General features: G+C 39.2%; 1 annotated feature.

Annotated features, from left to right (window-relative positions):
- Positions 1468 to 1762: a silencer, noted in NCBI's record as "tiled region #5517; K562 Repressive DNase matched - State 12:CtcfO". NCBI's record gives its function as "represses a minimal TATA promoter and a strong SV40 promoter by Sharpr-MPRA in K562 cells {active_cell/tissue: K562}" and the evidence as "EXISTENCE:reporter gene assay evidence [ECO:0000049][PMID:27701403]".

Here is a 17188-nt window from a genome sequence, read left to right on the forward strand (position 1 = left end):
ATCCCAGTCAGCACTCTGGGAAGCCCAGGTGGGAGGATCACTTGAATCCAGGAGTTCAAGACAAGCCTGGGCAACATAGCGAGATCCTGTCTCTATGAAAAAAAATGTTTTTTAATTAGCTGGGTGTGGTGGCACACACCTGTGGTCCCAGCCACTTGGGAGGCTGAGGCAGGAGAATCACTTGAACCTGGCAGGTCGAGGCTGCAGTGAGCCATGATTGCAACGCTGCATTCTAGCCTGGGAGACAGAGTGAAACTCTGTCTCAAAAAAAATAAATAAATAAATAAAATAAATTAAAACCTGTGAATTATGCTAGCAATATGCACCCCCACCAACACACAGAGACACATGGAGAAACAAGCCCACCACCCCGCCCCTGCTCCACCGACACCCCTGATGGCAGCGTGCATGCGTACATAATGCAACGCTGAGTCTGCCGCGGGAGAGTTTTCACCAAGGAGACAGGAAGGCTCCAGCTCAGTCTGGGCTCTGCAGAAGGTGTCCTTGGCTAGTCTCAGCTCCTGGCGCTGGGCAGCAGATAGGATCCAAGCTGAATAGAAAAGAGGTCTGTAAAACCTGGCTGTGACCACCTTACTCTTCAGCCTCATCTAGAGCCTTCTTCTCTCCATGTGCAGGGTTGGTTCCTTCTTACACATGTCTCACATGACCCACTGTTACCTTTATACCATTTATGTTTCAATTTTTAACTGTAATTTTTATTTAACTGTTAATTGCTAGTTTTCCTCACTAAACTCTATGAAAGCAGAGAATAGCCTGTCTTGCTTTTAGTCTCCTGAGAACTCACTCACTATCACATGAACAGCATGGAGATAACCGCCTCCTGAGCCCAGGAGTTCAAGACCAGCCTGGGCAACATAGCGAGACTCGGTCTCTATGAAAAAAACATCTTGTGCCACCATGTGAAGAGGGATGTGTTTGCTTCCCCTTCCACCATGATCATAAGCTTCCTGAGGCCTCCCTAGCCTTGCTGAACTGTGAGTCAATTAAACCTCTTTCCTTTATAAATTACCCAGTCTCGGGCAGTTCTTTATAGCAGCGTGAGAACGGATTAATACACAGGACAAACATGTGTCTGGCACATAGTGCAGCCGCAGGAAGTGTTTGTTGAATGAATGATTTTGTGAATGAATGAATTTATGATTGAGAGATGGTGGCACTAAAGACAAACTGTGACTGTTTCTGTGTTTTTCAAGGTCAGATATTACAGTATTTTCACAAATCATATTAATGAGTCCAGCATACCTTATGACATGTCCACGTAAAGACAATTAGGATCTTTTGTTCTGCCATGCCTTGCTACTTATGAATAGTGACTGCTGGTAAAAGCTTGTTGTGTTGATTGGATGCTGGGGCTACAGTTTGCTGATCTTTAAGTGTTGATGGCACAGTCCCCAAGGGAAGACAGGATGATATGGTTTGGCTGTGTCCCCACCCAAATTGGGAATTGCAGTTCCCATAATCCCTAGGTGTTGGGAGAGGGAACCGGTGGAAGGTAATTGAATCATGGGGGCAGTTACCTCCATGCAGTTCTTGTGACAGTGAGTGAGTTCTCAGGAGATCTGATGCTTTTATAAGAGGCTTTTCCCCCTTTGCTCAGCACCTCTCTCTTGTGCCACCATGTGGAGACGGACGTGTTTGCTTCCCCTTCCACCATGACTGTAAGTTTCCTGAGGCCTCCCCGGTCATGCTGAACTGTGAGTCAGTTAAACCTCTTTCTTTTATAAATTACCCAGTCTCAGGCAGTTCTTTATAGCAGCGTGAGAACAGATTAATACACAGGACAAACATGACAGGAAGGTCATATTTGATTTTCAGGTAAGTATTAAAATTTCACTCTAAATTCATTAGCTAGTGAATAGGTCCTTTATGTATTTAATAAACTATCCATATTTGACTTACCTCTCTATTGAACAAAAAAAGTAATATTTAAAACAGGATGGGAAATGTTTTATAATTTTTTTCAAGGAACTAGATGTAATTCTTAAGGTATGATTAGATTATAAAATTCAGTGGAAATGTTTTGTAAAAATGTGATCTTTCTGTCCTGTAGTCATGGGACCATCATCATAAGGACCCTTAAGAGCAGTGATGCACTATGTTTGTGGATATTGGGACATTTTAAAGATCCATTACCTTTCATTGAATGGGGTTAGAGAGATATTTGATCTGCTCAAGATAGGAAGTGTAAGTTGCTAATAGTATCTATTTCCATTCATTGTGCCGCTGCAAAGATGACATGCAATGGGAAGAGACAATGAACAGAGTAATTCCTGGGTTTTAGAATTTCTAAATCCGAGAGAGCAGATCCAGGATTAAATGGATACAGTGGTAAATACAAAAATTTAATCTGAGCCACTTGACGGTTTTCCACTAAGATTATTTCAGTTCAACTACAGTGAAATTTAATTACTACTTACTGAGTGCCTAAAGGAAACAAAGTTTGGATCATGGGTTTCTTGGTATTCTTTAACTGTTCTCAGCTTAAAGCTTTGTTCCAACTCTGAACATAATTCACTCTTACACATCTAAGTTTCTGACCTAATCTTGCCTCCTTTTTCCTTGTAATAAAATTATACTCTGTTCTCTTTCAAAACTCTGCTCAAGCTTCATCTCCTTTAATTAGCCTTCGCAGACAATGCAGATGAATGCCTGTTGTGGTATTTATTCCCACAATCTCTTTATCACGAGCAGAAACGTAGACTCTTAAGAGGGCCATCCTCTGTCCAGGTCCCATTCCCCAACACCTCCCACCACAGGCCCTCCCTATACACCCCAAATCAGTGGCTCTCAATTTTGGCTGCACAGTAAAATTCCCTGGGGAGCTTTAAAAAGGTTGCTTTTAAGAAGCCAAAGAAGAATTTTTAATTTGGTATCCCTGGTAGCTGTAAAACAAAAACAAACAAACAAAATGAAATAAAAGAACAAAATTGGGAATCATAATCTCTGAAGGCAAGCCTCCCACAATTTGCTTTTTAAAGTTTTTAGGTCACTTAAAGGTTTGTTCACAGGTGAGACTTGTCTTAAACAAAGCAGGACTCTCACTTACCTTAATATGTCTATACTTAAGTATATGTTTCTTTATTTGTCTTTTCTTTTTTGTTACATGTAATCTCACAAAATCACATGTTTTAAAGTTGTGTTTGGGTTCTCCAAATAAACAGAACAACAGGTGATACACACACACACATACACACACACATATACATAAAGATTTATTATGGGAGTTGGCTTATGCCCCACAATCTGCTGTCTACAGGCTAGAGAACCAGGCAAGCTAGTGCTGTGATTCAGTCAGAGTCTGAAAGCCTGAGAATCAGGTGGATGGTGTAAGTCCTGGTCTAAGCCTGGAAGCCCAAGAACCAGGAATGTGGATGTCCAAGGGTAAGAGAGAAATAGAAGTCCTAGCTCAAGCAGAAAGAACAAATTCACTTTTCCTCTACCTTTTTGTTCTATTTGAGCCCTCCATGGATTAGGTGATACCTGCCCACATTGGTGAGGATGATCTTCCTTGCTTGGTGTACAGATTCAAATGCTAATCTCTTCAGGAGGTACCCTCATAAACCCACCAGAAATAGTGTTTTACCATCTATCCGGGCACTCCTTAGCCCAGTAAAGTTGACATAAAACTAACCATCATAAGAGTTGAAACATGTCTTAGATGTCATTTCTTCCAATTTACCTGTGGAAATCTCCAGCAAAGGACATGTCTTACCCAGCCCATAGATTGAGAACCAAAACATCAAAATTTACTGGGCAAAAGATGTTTGGAATATTATTGTTATTATCATGAGGATTATTACTTTAGACAGGGTCTTGCTCTGTTGCCCAGGCTGGAGTGCAGTAAGATCACAGTTCACTGCAGCCTTGACCTTCCAGGCTCAAGAGATCTTCCCACCTCAGCCTCTCGGGTAGCTGGGACTACCGGTGTGTGCCACCATACCCGGCCAATTTTGTATTTTTTGTAGAGACAAAGTCTCACTATGTTACCCAGGCTGGTCTTGAACTCCTGCGTTCAAGCAATCTCCCACCTCGGCCTCCCAAAGTGATGGAATTACAGGCGTGAGCCATGGTGACTGGCATGAAGATAATTATTTAGAAAGCAAATTCAAGGGTCTCTTTTATTTGTAATAGCAGACCAAAGTGAGCCTGCAGGTCACTGGAATAGTCATGATAGAGTGAACATGCCTGGGCTCTGAAGTCATGAGACTCCCTCAACTTCAACTCCTGGGATTGTCAGGCATGTCTCAACTCTTCCTCTTTAAGCCAGTTTCCTTATTTTCAAAAATGCAGAGAGTAATGCCTCGAGGCTTGTTTTAAGGATTAAATTGGGTAAATATTTATGAAAGTGGGTGACATATAGTTAAATTTTTTAACAGCTGTAAAATGGTGAGAACCTTCTTTCACTGACTTTAAAAGGTAAAGAGAAAAATAACTATTTTGCATTTGAATAGGTGTTTATTATTCTGTCAGCTGTAATGATTTTTAAATATCTCAAAATTTCTCAGTATAACCCGGCTCGACCCGGCCGTTTGGATTCAAAAGTGTTTCTGGCATGCTTCCTAGAGCTTACATTCTATATTCTTTGAAGCATCTGAAAGAAATATAAGCTCCATTGTTGTCCAGAAGGAATTTAGCCTATTAGTCACCTATAAAAGTACGAATCTATAATGTTTACAATATAACCCTTTCAAAAATTTGTTTAGAGGAAGAAGAAAAACCCCAAAGCAGATAGAAGACATGGTGATTTATCCATCACCAATGAAGAAGGAGAGTTAGAAATGCGGTGAGAGACTGGGCACGGTGGCTCATGCCTATAATCTCAGCACTTTGGGAGGCCAAGGTGAGTGGATCACCTGAGGTCAGGAGTTCGAGACGAGCCTGACCAACATGGTGAAACTCCGTTTCTACTAAGAATATATAATTAGCCAGGTGTGGTGGTGCATACCTATAATCCCAGCTACTTGGGAGGCTGAGGCAGGAGAATTGCTTGAACCTGGGAGGCAGAGGTTGTGGTGAGCCGAGATCGTGCCACTGCAACTCCAGCCTGGGAAAAAAGAGTGAAACTCCATCTCAAAAAAAAAAAAAAACAAAGAAATGCAGTGACAGTAGAGGCCTCAAGGCCCCAGGGAGCTTAATGCTTGTGTGTGTGTGTGTGTGTGTGTGTGTGTGTGTGTGTGTGTTGTGCATGTTCCTGATGATCTTTCTGTTTGAGCCACGAAGAAATCAACCACTTTTCTGTTTTGCCCCCAGGATAAATACCAGAACAGCCTATCAGAGGTAGAAAAACAAGAGAAGATAAGATCTTAACTATCATAATGAGGACAGGCACTTGCTTTTAACCTCAGAAGCAGGGGAAGTGGTAGAGTTTGAGTGTTACTTGCAGAATCCAAAGCTCTACCAAGGCTGGAACAATGCAGATGTCTACTGAGACCTCTGATTATAAGTGACAATTTCAACATCAAGTTTTTTGGACTGGAAAGTAAATTCTATCCAATAATATATTTTGGGGAAAAATTATTCCCCAAAAAGTCTCCTACGTCTCCTACTCCCAAAACTTTTAACCTCCTTGAGCTTAGGCTGGGGAGATTCCAGAAATTAGATGAACATACAAAATTAAATGATGAGAAAGTATTGCATTGTACTTAAGTGTTACAGGTCTTTAAATCTTAATATATACGCTTAACTCTGAATATACCTTAAATATAAGTTATAATAATGACCTATGCTATTTACTTAGACCCAAAAAGAATTGTTGGATTTAAAAGTATGTACTTATTTCACCTCTCTTAATTCCCTACTCTTTGGACCTAGGATATCTTAAACCATCACCCTATCTAACCTAGGCAACCTAAGCCTGCCCCCAAAATTAGAATACAGCATCTTCCAAATAGCAAAGCCATGATCAATGGACAGAAATTATAGAAATGCAAGATTCATCTCAACCTAAAAAGGAAGTTTCTGGGAACCAAAAACGTCCAATAATATAGTAGGCTGCCTTACAGAGTGCTTAGCTCACTGTTGTAGGAGGAGCTCAAGCTATGTCTAAATGATCAGGTTAAGTCAGGAGTCAAGCTAAGACTAAATGTCCATCTGCTTGGGATATTGTGGAAGGAATTCCAGTGCTTGATGAAAGGTTGAATTGCAAGGTCTCTTCCCAATATAAAATTATATGACTTTGAATAAAATAAATCTGACACTGAATACTTTGGTTGGTGTCACATTTCTGACTTTAGATAATTCAGCTCATCAAGAATAAAGAGTATGGCTTATTTTTACACTGGAGCCCATCACATTTTATTGGGGGTCCCTTAGACTGACTGTTAGTAACTTTCAAAAACTGAAATATTAACTAGTTTATGGTTTTGGATTCCATTTACATATGTTTCCCTGGCCCCTCCTTACCTCTTACCTGCCAATGTGTTCTTCTGTTTCATGTTTTACCTATTCATTATGTCAATTATACCTGATTACAGGGTACTTTCATGGAAGATTGATTTCCATTGCAGACCTGAGTGAAATCACATATATCATTTCCACCCATAACCTTTGCGGCTGGAAGTCCTGTGCTCTGTATATGCCTCAAACATAAGGATGGTCCTAAAAGGGTCTGTCATTAGTCCTTTGAATGAAAAATACATTGCATAAAACATAATTTATTTCTTTTAACTCATTAGGAGCCATTTAAAAGTTGACAGCAAAGTTTATTCCTTACCAAAAAAGGGGAGGCTGCAGATAAAATGGTGTTCTCCCCATCAGCACCCGGATGTTGCACATGTAGGGATAACAGCTGGCACGGGGATATTAATAGGCAGCCATTGTTTTTGCACCTGGCTGGGGATGACAGTCTGAGACTATAACCAGTGCAGCTGCGGAGGTTCTTGTCAGATTTTTCTGAGCCATAGAAATGAGGAAACAATCATTTTAGATCTATGACATACTAGCCTTCATGAAATACCTCAGGTATTAAAGAAGGATAAATGAAGTAAAGAGTAAAATATGATTATTTTGAACAGTCTCCAAACTATTTAGTGCACTTTTCTATTATCTTAAGAATAAAGAACATTGATTCTAAAGGAAAACAAAATAGAAGAGGTATTTGAGTAAGAGAAAAATATGGCACTAAACATTGGTATTTGGATATGTGTAAACGTTGTGTGACTTAAGTTCTTAGAAGGTACAACTGAGACACTCATTCCAAAGAAAATAAGGATCTGTTTTTGGAAAAATAAAGGGTATAAAAAAGTTTATTTTGAAAAGGAATAAAATTAGACTTGTTGTGAAGGTCTATTATATACCCCACATAAAAAGACACTACCGAATTTCTTCCACTCCCTTCCCTTCCCTCCCCTTCCATTCTGTTCCTTTCTGTGTCCTTCTGGTTCCCTTTTCCTTCCCTTTATCCTTTTTTTCTCCTTTGCTTTCACAAAGATTTCCTAAAACACTTAAAATCTTTGTATAAGGTCATCTCAAATCTATAAAGGTGAAAAAAAGGCAGCTCTTACACAGCACTTGCTGCACTAAGGGATATGGCATCTTCATAAATTATTCAAATATAAGCTGGAATGGGCACAACAGGGTAAGTGAAGTAGAGAATAGTGTCATGGGTAATGAGAGGTAGAGACAGCATTCTGCCAGAAGCCAGGGAAGGTCGCATCAGGGAACTGGCAATGGAAACGGAACAGAGGGCAGTCTACTTGTGAGGGACTGTGGACGCAGAATCCACAGGGCCTGGGCATTTGATGGCTAAAGTTGGCAAGAGTGAGGTGAAGCCAAAGAGGCCAGCCACTTTTCCATTATTTTTACTAGTTTGCCAGAGTTAAGAAAACATAAAGGAAGAATGTGTCTCTCCTCACTTGTAGTGTAGGATTGAACATGACTATTGATTCCCAAAAGAAAATCTACTTCATAACCCAGTGTTGAGAAGTTGGTATCTGACTTGTGATTTTATATATGTACATGGGAGTAGGTGGAGACTGGGTGGGTAGAAAGTAGTTACAGGGCAAGATGTTTCACTACTGAGACAGGTCTCCTCCTCCAAATCCATTTCCTCCCCCAGATCTCTCTGTCCCCACCTGCAGTTGATGGGACTCTTATTCTCTTTCATCCTCCCTCCCCCTCATACGATCTCTAGCTTCTTTCTTTTCCTGGTTTTCTCCCCACCTACCTTTCCATTCTCATATGCATAGAAATGTATCTCACCCCGTCTCCTCCTCACCCATCTCTTAATATTGTCTTCAAGTGTCTGCAGTCCTGAGGATGACTTCATGTGTGCTCAGCAAACAAAAGATCCTTTCGCTAAATGATCCACCCCCTTTACAGACTGACAGATGAATTTTAAACACTCAGTTTTTATTTCTGGGACACCCCCAAATGTTGTCAACCTTGGCATCTAAAGCACTGCTGGGTAAAGATATTAAATAACAGTTTTGTCATCTCAGCAAATAATTACAAGTACTTCAAGACAGAGGAGTCTATGCAAATGTTTCCACAGGTCCTCAGGTGGTCAGCAAGGGAGGTCTCAGATTTCTCAACTGTGCCACTCATTCTCATTTTGTGCATTTTTATCTGTGGGAACCTAATATTATCCTTAGTTATCTGGTGTTAGTGCCAATCACATTGCTGTGGAGGTCCCGTCTGCCACAAACCTGGACTGAGCACAGAGGCTCCTCTGTATCTGTTGATGAGGAAGCTAGTCACGCTATGAAAAGGTTGGAACGTGCTACTTTTCTTTCATACCTGGCTGAATCCTGAAGAAAAACACTACCTTCATAAAACCAATCATAGAAGCATATTACCTTCCCTCTATTTTTCTTTTGCTTCAAGGCAAATCTTGTTACTCTTTTTTATTGAATGTTTTAGAAACCTAAGACTTTTTCTTTGACACCAGATGTGCAGGTTATTTTATGTTTAAAATTCCCTTTTCTGTTTTACTCTTCTCTTTCTATTATTAGGTAGAGATATAACTCTTGACCAAATCATTTTTTAAAAGTGCAATTCAACATGGAACCAGAACCATTCTCCAAAGAACACCTATTGTTTTGTGGTCTTGGATTTCTGAGAAAATCTGCTTTCACTTGATATAACTCTAAAACCTTATTGATTCTTTAGACACTCACATCTCAGACAGGTAGACTCTACTTTCTTAATTTATTATTTCTTATACTTAATATTAAGGAAAAGACAAGATATACAAAGTAAAAAGAAAGTGAGAATCTTTCAATTAAAACCTGCTTTGATTTTTTCATATGAAGCTTGTTTGTTGTGATGGGATAGTCTTTTAAACACAATATTCCATCCATAATAAATATTTGCAGCAAATTAGGTGTTTGCAACAAAATGTGTATATTTCCTTTAGAAATTGAATAGAATTTTCCAGAATCTCTTCTCAATGATATTTCTGCTCCAACCCTGAAAAATAAAACCAGAGCTGTGTCCCCTCTGTTATCTCATAGCACCTTAAGCATATCTTTGTCATTGTACTTACCACTTCAAAATGAAATTGTCTGCTTAAGTAAACTCTGTAGACTTGCTTTTGCTGAACTGGGGTTTGGTTTTCAAGCCATCAGCCCATACTGAGATATAATATAATAAAATGTAAGAGCTGAAACTATAAAAATACTAGAGGAAAACTTAGTGAAAACTCTTCTGGATATTGCTCTAGGCAAAGAATTCATGAGTAAGACAAGAGCACAAGCAACAAAAACAAAGCAGGCAAATGGGGCTTAATTAAACAAAAGCTTCTGCACAGCAAAAGAAATAATCAACACAGCGAACAGCCTCCAGAAAGGAGAAAATATTTGCAAACAATGTATCCAGCAGGGGGCAAATATCCAGAATATATAAGGAACTCAAATAACTCAACAACAGCAAAACAAATAACCTCATTAAAAAGTGGGCAAAGGACATGAATAGACATTTTTCAAAGGAACACATACAAATGGCCAACAAACATATGAAAAAATGCTCAACATACTAATCATCAGAGAAATGCAAATTAAAACCACAATGAGAATCTATCGTACATTAGTCAGAATAGCTATTATTAAAACGTCAAGGCAGGGTGTGGTGGCTCATGCCTGTAATCCCAGCATTTTGGGAGGCCAAGGCAGATGGATCACTTAGTGCCAGGAGTTCAAGACCAGCCTAGCCAACATGGTGAAACCCCATCTCTACCAAAAATACAAAAAATTAGTTGGGTGTGTTGGCACATGTCTGTAATCCCAGCTACTCAGGAGGCTGAAGCATGAGCATTGCTTGAACCCAGGAGGCAGAGGTGGCAGTGAGCTGACCCAGTACCATTGCACTCCAGTCTGGGAGATAAAGTGAGACTCTCTCTTTAAAAAAAAGTAAAAAAAAAAAAAAAACAGATGTTGGCAAGGATGTGGAGAAAAAGGAATACTTATACACTGTTGGTGGGAATGTAAATTAGTACAACCTCTATAGAAAATAGTATGAAGATTTCTCAAGGAACTAAAAATAGAATTACCATTAGATCCAGCAATCCCACTGGGTGTCTACCCAATGAAAAGGAAATCATCATATCATAAAGATACCACACTCATTTGTTTATCACAACACTGTTTACAATAGCAAAGATATGGAATCAACCCAAAGTCCATCAATGGATGAATAGATAAAGAAAAAATTATATATGTATAATCTACTCAGCCATAACAAAGAATGAAACAGGTCTTTTGCAGCCACACGCCTGGAACTAGAGGACATTATCTTAAATAACTCAGAAACAGAAAACCAAATACTGCATATCATCACTTATAAGTGAGAACTAAATAATGTGTCCACATGGGCAGAGTGTGGAATGATAGACATTGGAAACTCAGAAGGGTGGGAAGGTGGGAAAGGCATAGGTGATGAGAAATTACTTAATGGGTAAAATGTACATTATTTAGGTGATGGAATAATAAACAATAAAAACCCAGACTTCACCATTACTCAATATATTCATATAATACAATTGCATTTCTATCCCTTACATTTACACCAAAAAAAGAGGTCAAAAGAAAAAAAATAGCCCCACAACATTTACCATAAGGATAGTGTTGAAAATGTCCTTCAGTATATCACATAGTATTTGCATTTGGGCCAGATGCCATGGCTTACGCCTGTAATCCCAGCATTTTGGGAGGCCGAGGTGGGCAGATCACGAGGTCAAGAGATCAAGACCTTCCTGGCCAACTTGGTGAAACCCCGTCACTACTAAAAACACAAAAATTAGCTGGGCGTGGTGGCATGCCTGTAATCCCAGCTACTCGGGAGGTTGAGACAGGAGAATCACTTGAACCCAGGAAGCAGAGGTTGCAGTGAGCCCAGAATGTGCCACTGCACTCCAGCCTGGGCAACAGAGTAAGACTCTGTCTCAAAAAAAAAAAAAAAAAAAAGAGAGAGAGTATTTGCCTTTGGATGATCCTTGAGGGTTTTGTTTGTTTGTTTGGCCTTACGTTAGGAATAGGTATGCTTTTCCTGAGCATTTGGTCTGTTTTTATCTGGTGGAACTGAAACCACCCCAGTTGTCCCATGGAACAGATGTTTATGGTTTCTTTGAATAAACATAAAAATTAATCTCCCTTAAAACTTGAGAAAGTTAACATTTGTCTTATCTGAGTTCCTTTCTCGGGAAACCAACCATGAGGACTGCCAGATAGTATCAAGGAACTGAAACTTACCAGATCACCACGTCTGGACAATGAGACACAGGACCCTTCACCCATCATCATTGGCCTAACTGACCACTTGCTTCCTGTGAACAGCTCCTTTTTCTCATCCCTCCCTAATTCCTGTTTTCCCACACATGGTTAAAATTCTTTCCTGCTGTATAAACCCCTAATTTTAGTCAGTCAGAGAGATGGATTTGAGACTGATCTCCCATCTTCTTGACCATAGCACCTAATTAAAGCCTTCTTCCCTGGCAGTACTCATTGTCTCAGTGATTCAGTTTCTGTGTCACGAGCAGCAAGACCTAGACTGAAACCCCGGTGTTTTGGTAACAGAACTTGTGGATTGTCTCTCCCTTGACAGAGATTACCAAAAAGCTTAGATCCAAATTCTTGGTGGATCCTTAGCAAATACATGCAGGTCTTCATTGCGTTTATTTTGTGTATTACCCTGCCTCTAGTCTATGATCCCATCATTGCTTTCCCTTTGCCTTTCTCACTTGTTTCTAATGGACTTGTTTCTATTCTAATATTGTACCTCTTTTTGTTCCCCTCTGTAAATCCTTTTGAAGAAAGGCATGAGAATAAAGATGTATCTGTATCTTTCTCTCACCAGGCTATGAGCTCCTTGAGAATGTCCTGGGGTTGTTTCTCTATCATTTTGCACTTGGATGTGGCACAGACTTCACCGTATGTTCAGTAAATATTTTTGAAAGTAAACTAAATGAAGTTGCCATTGAAAAATAAAAAGAAATCATCTGGTAATTTGAGCAATGCCAGTTTTCTATTTCATGGTAAGACAAAAGGAAAAGACTGAGAATCCAATTGTCACCTACAAACAAGAAGGCAGAAGATATTCCTTATCTAAGTCAAGGATAAATAGATGACCTTAAAAAAGTTCCTTGTTTTTTTAACCTGTTGATGGTGTGACCATGACAATGTTGTGGCTTATAAACCAAGAAAAATGAAAGATGCTTGTAATCCATCTATCACAGAGCTTTGCACATAGTTGATACTGGATAAATACATGTTGAACCCAGTTTCTCTGAATACTAGTTTGAGAAATAGAGTCATTTAGAACGCTTGGCAGGAAATATCTGGTACTTATTTTTCCTCAGATTGAAATCTAAAAACATCTCAGGAAACCGTTGAACTCAGGATTGTTAACTTGAACCAGAGTCATACAAAAGACATCTAGCTCACTGGGCAATGCTTTTTAATGACAGAATGCCCTATTTCACCTAGAACTTTCTTCTTTTTTTTCTTTTTTTTTAAGTATACTTTAAGTTCTAGGGTACATGTGCACAACATGCAGGTTTGTTACATATGTATATATGTGTCATGTTGGTGTGCTAAACCCATTAACTCGTCATTTACATTAGGTATATCTCCTAATGCTATCCCTCCCCGCTCCCCCAACCCTACGACAGGCCCCGGTATGTGATGTTCCCCACCCTGTGTCCAAGTGTTCTCATTGTTCAATTGCCACCTATGAGTGAGAATATGTGGTGTTTCGTTTTCTGTCCTTGCAATAGTTTGCTCAGAATGGTGGTTTCCAGCTTCATCTATGTCCCTACAAAGGATGTGAACTCATCATTTTTTATGGCTGCATAGTATTCCATGGTGTATATATGCCACATTTTCTTAATCCAGTCTATCATTGATGGACATTTGTGTTGGTTCCAAGTCTTTGCTATTGTGAATAGTGTCGCAATAAACATACGTGTGCATGTGTCTTTATAGCAGCATGATTTATAATCCTTTGGGTATATACCCAGTAATGGGATGGCTGGGTCAAATTGTATTTCTACTTCTAGATCCTTGAGGAATCACCACACTGACTTCCACAATGGTTGAACTAGTTTACAGTCCCACCAACAGTGTAAAAATGTTCCTATTTCTCCACATCCTCTCCAGCACCTGTTGTTTCCTGACTTTTTAATGATCGCCATTCTAACTGGTGTGAGATGGTGTCTCATTGTGGTTTTGATTTGCATTTCTCTGGCGTCCAGTGATGACGAGCATTTTTTCATGTGTCTGTTGGCTGCATAAATGTCTTCTTTTGAGAAGTGTCTGTTCATATCCTTTGCCCACTTTTTGATGGGGTTGTTTGATTTTTTCTTGTAAATTTGTTTAAGTTCTTTGTAGATTCTGAATATTAGCCCTTTGTCAGATGGGTAGATTGCAAAAATTTTCTCCCATTCTGCAGGTTGCCTGTTCACTCTGGTGGTAGTTTCTTTTGCTGTGCAGAAGCTCTTTGGTTTAATTAGATCCCATTTGTCAATTTTGGCTTTTGTTGCCATTGCTTTTGGTGTTTTAGACATGAAGTCCTTGCCCATGCCTGTGGCCTGAATGGTATTGCCTAGGTTTTCTTCTAGGGTTTTTATGGTTTTAGGTCTGACATTTAAGTCTTTAATCTATCTTGAATTAATTTTTGTATAAGATGTAAGGAAGGGATCCAGTTTCAGCTTTCTACATATGGCTAGCCAGTTTTCCCAGCATCATTTATTAAATAGGGAATCCTTTCCCCATTGCTTGTTTTTGTCAGGTTTGTCAAAGATCAGATGGTTGTAGATATGTGGTATTACTTCTGAGGCCTCTGTTCTGTTCCATTGGTCTATATCCCTGTTTTGGTACCAGTACCATGCTGTTTTGGTTACTGTAGCCTTGTACTATAGTTTGAAGTCAGGTAGCATGATGCCTCCAGCTTTGTTCTTTTGGCTTAGGATTGTCTTGGCAATGCGGGCTCTTTTTTGGTTCCATATGAACTTTAAAGTAGTTTTTTCCAATTCTGTGAAGAAAGTCATTGGTAGCTTGAGGGGGATGGCATTGAATCTATAAATTACCTTGGGAATTATGGCCATTTTCACGATATTGATTCTTCCTATCCATGAGCATGGAATGTTCTTCCATTTGTTTGTATCCTCTTTTATTTCATTGAGCAGTGGTTTGTAATTCTCCTTGAAGAGGTCCTTCACATCCCTTGTAAGTTGGATTCCTAGGTATATTATTCTCTTTGAAGCAATTGTGAATGGGAGTTCACTCATGATTTGGCTCTCTGTTTGTCTGTTATTGGCTATAAGAATGCTTGTGATTTTTGCACATTGATTTTGTATCCTGAGACTTTGCTGAAGTTGCTTTTCAGCTTAAGGAGATTTTGGGCTGAGACGATGGGGTTTTCTAAATATACGATCATGTCATTTGCAAACAGGGGAAATTTGACTTCCTCTTTTCATAATTGAGTACCCTTTATTTTTTTCTCCTGTCTGATTGCCCTGGCCAGAACTTCCAACACTATGTTGAATAGGAGTGGTGAGAGAGGGTATCCCTGTCTTGTGCCATTTTCAAAGGGAATGGTTCCAGTTTTTGCCCGTTCAGTATGATATTGGCTGTGGATTTGTCATAAATAGCTGTTATTATTTTGAGATACGTCCCATCAATACCTAATTTATTGAGAGTTTTTAAGCATGAAGCATTGTTGAATTTTGTCGAAGGCCTTTTCTGCATCTATTGAGATAATCATGTGGTTTTTGTCTTTGGTTCTGTTATATGATGGATTACGTTTATTGATTTGCGTATGTTGAACCAGCCTTGCATCCCAGGGATGAAGCCCACTTGATCATAGTGGATAAGCTTTTTGATGTGCTGCTGGATTCGGTTTGCCAGTATTTTATTGAGGATTTTTGCATCGATGTTCATCAGGGATGTTGGTCTAAAATTCTTTTTTTTTGTTGTGTCTCTGCCAGGCTTTGGTATCAGGATGATGCTGGCCTCATAAAATGAGTTAGGGAGGATTCCCTCTTTTTCTATTGATTGGAATAGTTTCAGAAGGAATGGTACCAGCTCCTCTTTGTACCTCTGGTAGAATTCGGCTGTGAGTCCATCTGGTCCTGGGGTTTTTTTTGGTTGGTAGGCTCTTAATTATTGCCTCAATTTCAGAGCCTGTTATTGGTCTATTCAGGGATTCAATTTCTTCCTTGTTTTGGAGTGTGTATGTGTCCAGGAATTTATCCATTTCTCCTAGATTTTCTAGTTTATTTGCATAGAGGTGTTTATAGTATTCTCTGATGGTAGTTTGTATTTCTGTGGGATCGGTGGTGATATCCCCTTTATCATTTTTTAATGCGTCTATTTGATTCTTCTCTCTTTTCTTCTTTATTAGTCTTCTTAGAAGTCTATCAATTTTGTTGATCTTTTCAAAAAACCAGCTCCTGGATTCATTGATTTTTTGAAGGGTTTTTTGTGTCTCTATCTCCTTCAATTCTGTTCTGATCTTAGTTATTTCTTGCCTTCTGCTAGCTTTTGAATGTGTTTGCTCTTGCTTCTCTAGTTCTTTTAATTGTGTTGTTAGGGTGTCCATTTTAGATCTTCCTGCTTTCTCTTGTGGGCATTTAGTGCTACAGATTTCCCTCTACACACTGCTTTAAATGTGTCCCAGAGATTCTGGTATGTTGTGTCTTTGTTCTTATTGGTTTCAAAGAACATCTTTATTTCTGCCTTCATTTTGTTATGTACCCAGTAGTCCTTCAGGAGCAGGTTGTTCAGTTTCCATGCAGTTGAGCAGCTCTGAGTGAGTTTCTTAATCCTGAGTTCTAGTTTGATTGCACTGTGGTCTGAGAGACAGTTTGTTACAATTCTGTTCCTTTACATTTGCTGAGGAGTGCTTTACTTCCAACTATGTGGTCAGTTTTGGAATAAGTGCTATGTTCACCTAGAACTTTCAAGTCTTGATTCATAGTAGATTAATTTTGTCCTTTAAAAGAGAACAAACCAACATAGCAAATATTGGGTTATTTTTTCCACTTACAGGCTTTACTAGAATAGAAAATGCTAGCAATTTATTTGTGGGTACTGAAACTTATGGTATGATCTAAACAGAATAAGATGGTGGGATGGCTTTTCTTTAAGATCAAATTTTTGTCTTTAAGTACTATGATTTTTTTTTCCCTTTAAAATGTCTCCTATAGTGATCCTTTTCCTCGGTTCTCCTTTTAACTCCCTAACTGCAAATTCTCATCGTCTCATCCCAACGATGATACAATATATTTTCGGCTGGCTTCCTTGTCACCACTTTTCCTATCAAATGTATCCTGAATGTTACTATCAGAGTATTCTTCCAAAACGATGTTTTCATCACATCATTCTTATCTAGTAACTTACAATAACTTCTTAGAGCTGGACAAATCAACTTCAAACTTGGGCAAGGCATTGCTTCTCATAATCTCCTCCCCACCGGCTCCCAGCTTTGTACACCAGAGTGCGCTCTGTTGCAATCTTAGCATCCTGCATGGGTCCCTGGTACAAACTGTCCCTTTAAGGTATCTGTATCTGCATGCAACAGGAAGTGGGGTGTGGTTTGTTCTGGGATGAGACTACAGTTGTATGCTGAAAAGAGTTTATCCTTGACCTAGAACTAGTACTGCTTTTAGAAAAAAAAATCTTGTTTACCGTTAAAAAGGAGAAAGTTAAATAGCACTTACAGTTAAAAAGAAAAA

This window comes from Homo sapiens, chromosome 6 (assembly GCF_000001405.40).
Source record: "Homo sapiens chromosome 6, GRCh38.p14 Primary Assembly".
Lineage (NCBI taxonomy): Eukaryota > Metazoa > Chordata > Mammalia > Primates > Hominidae > Homo > Homo sapiens.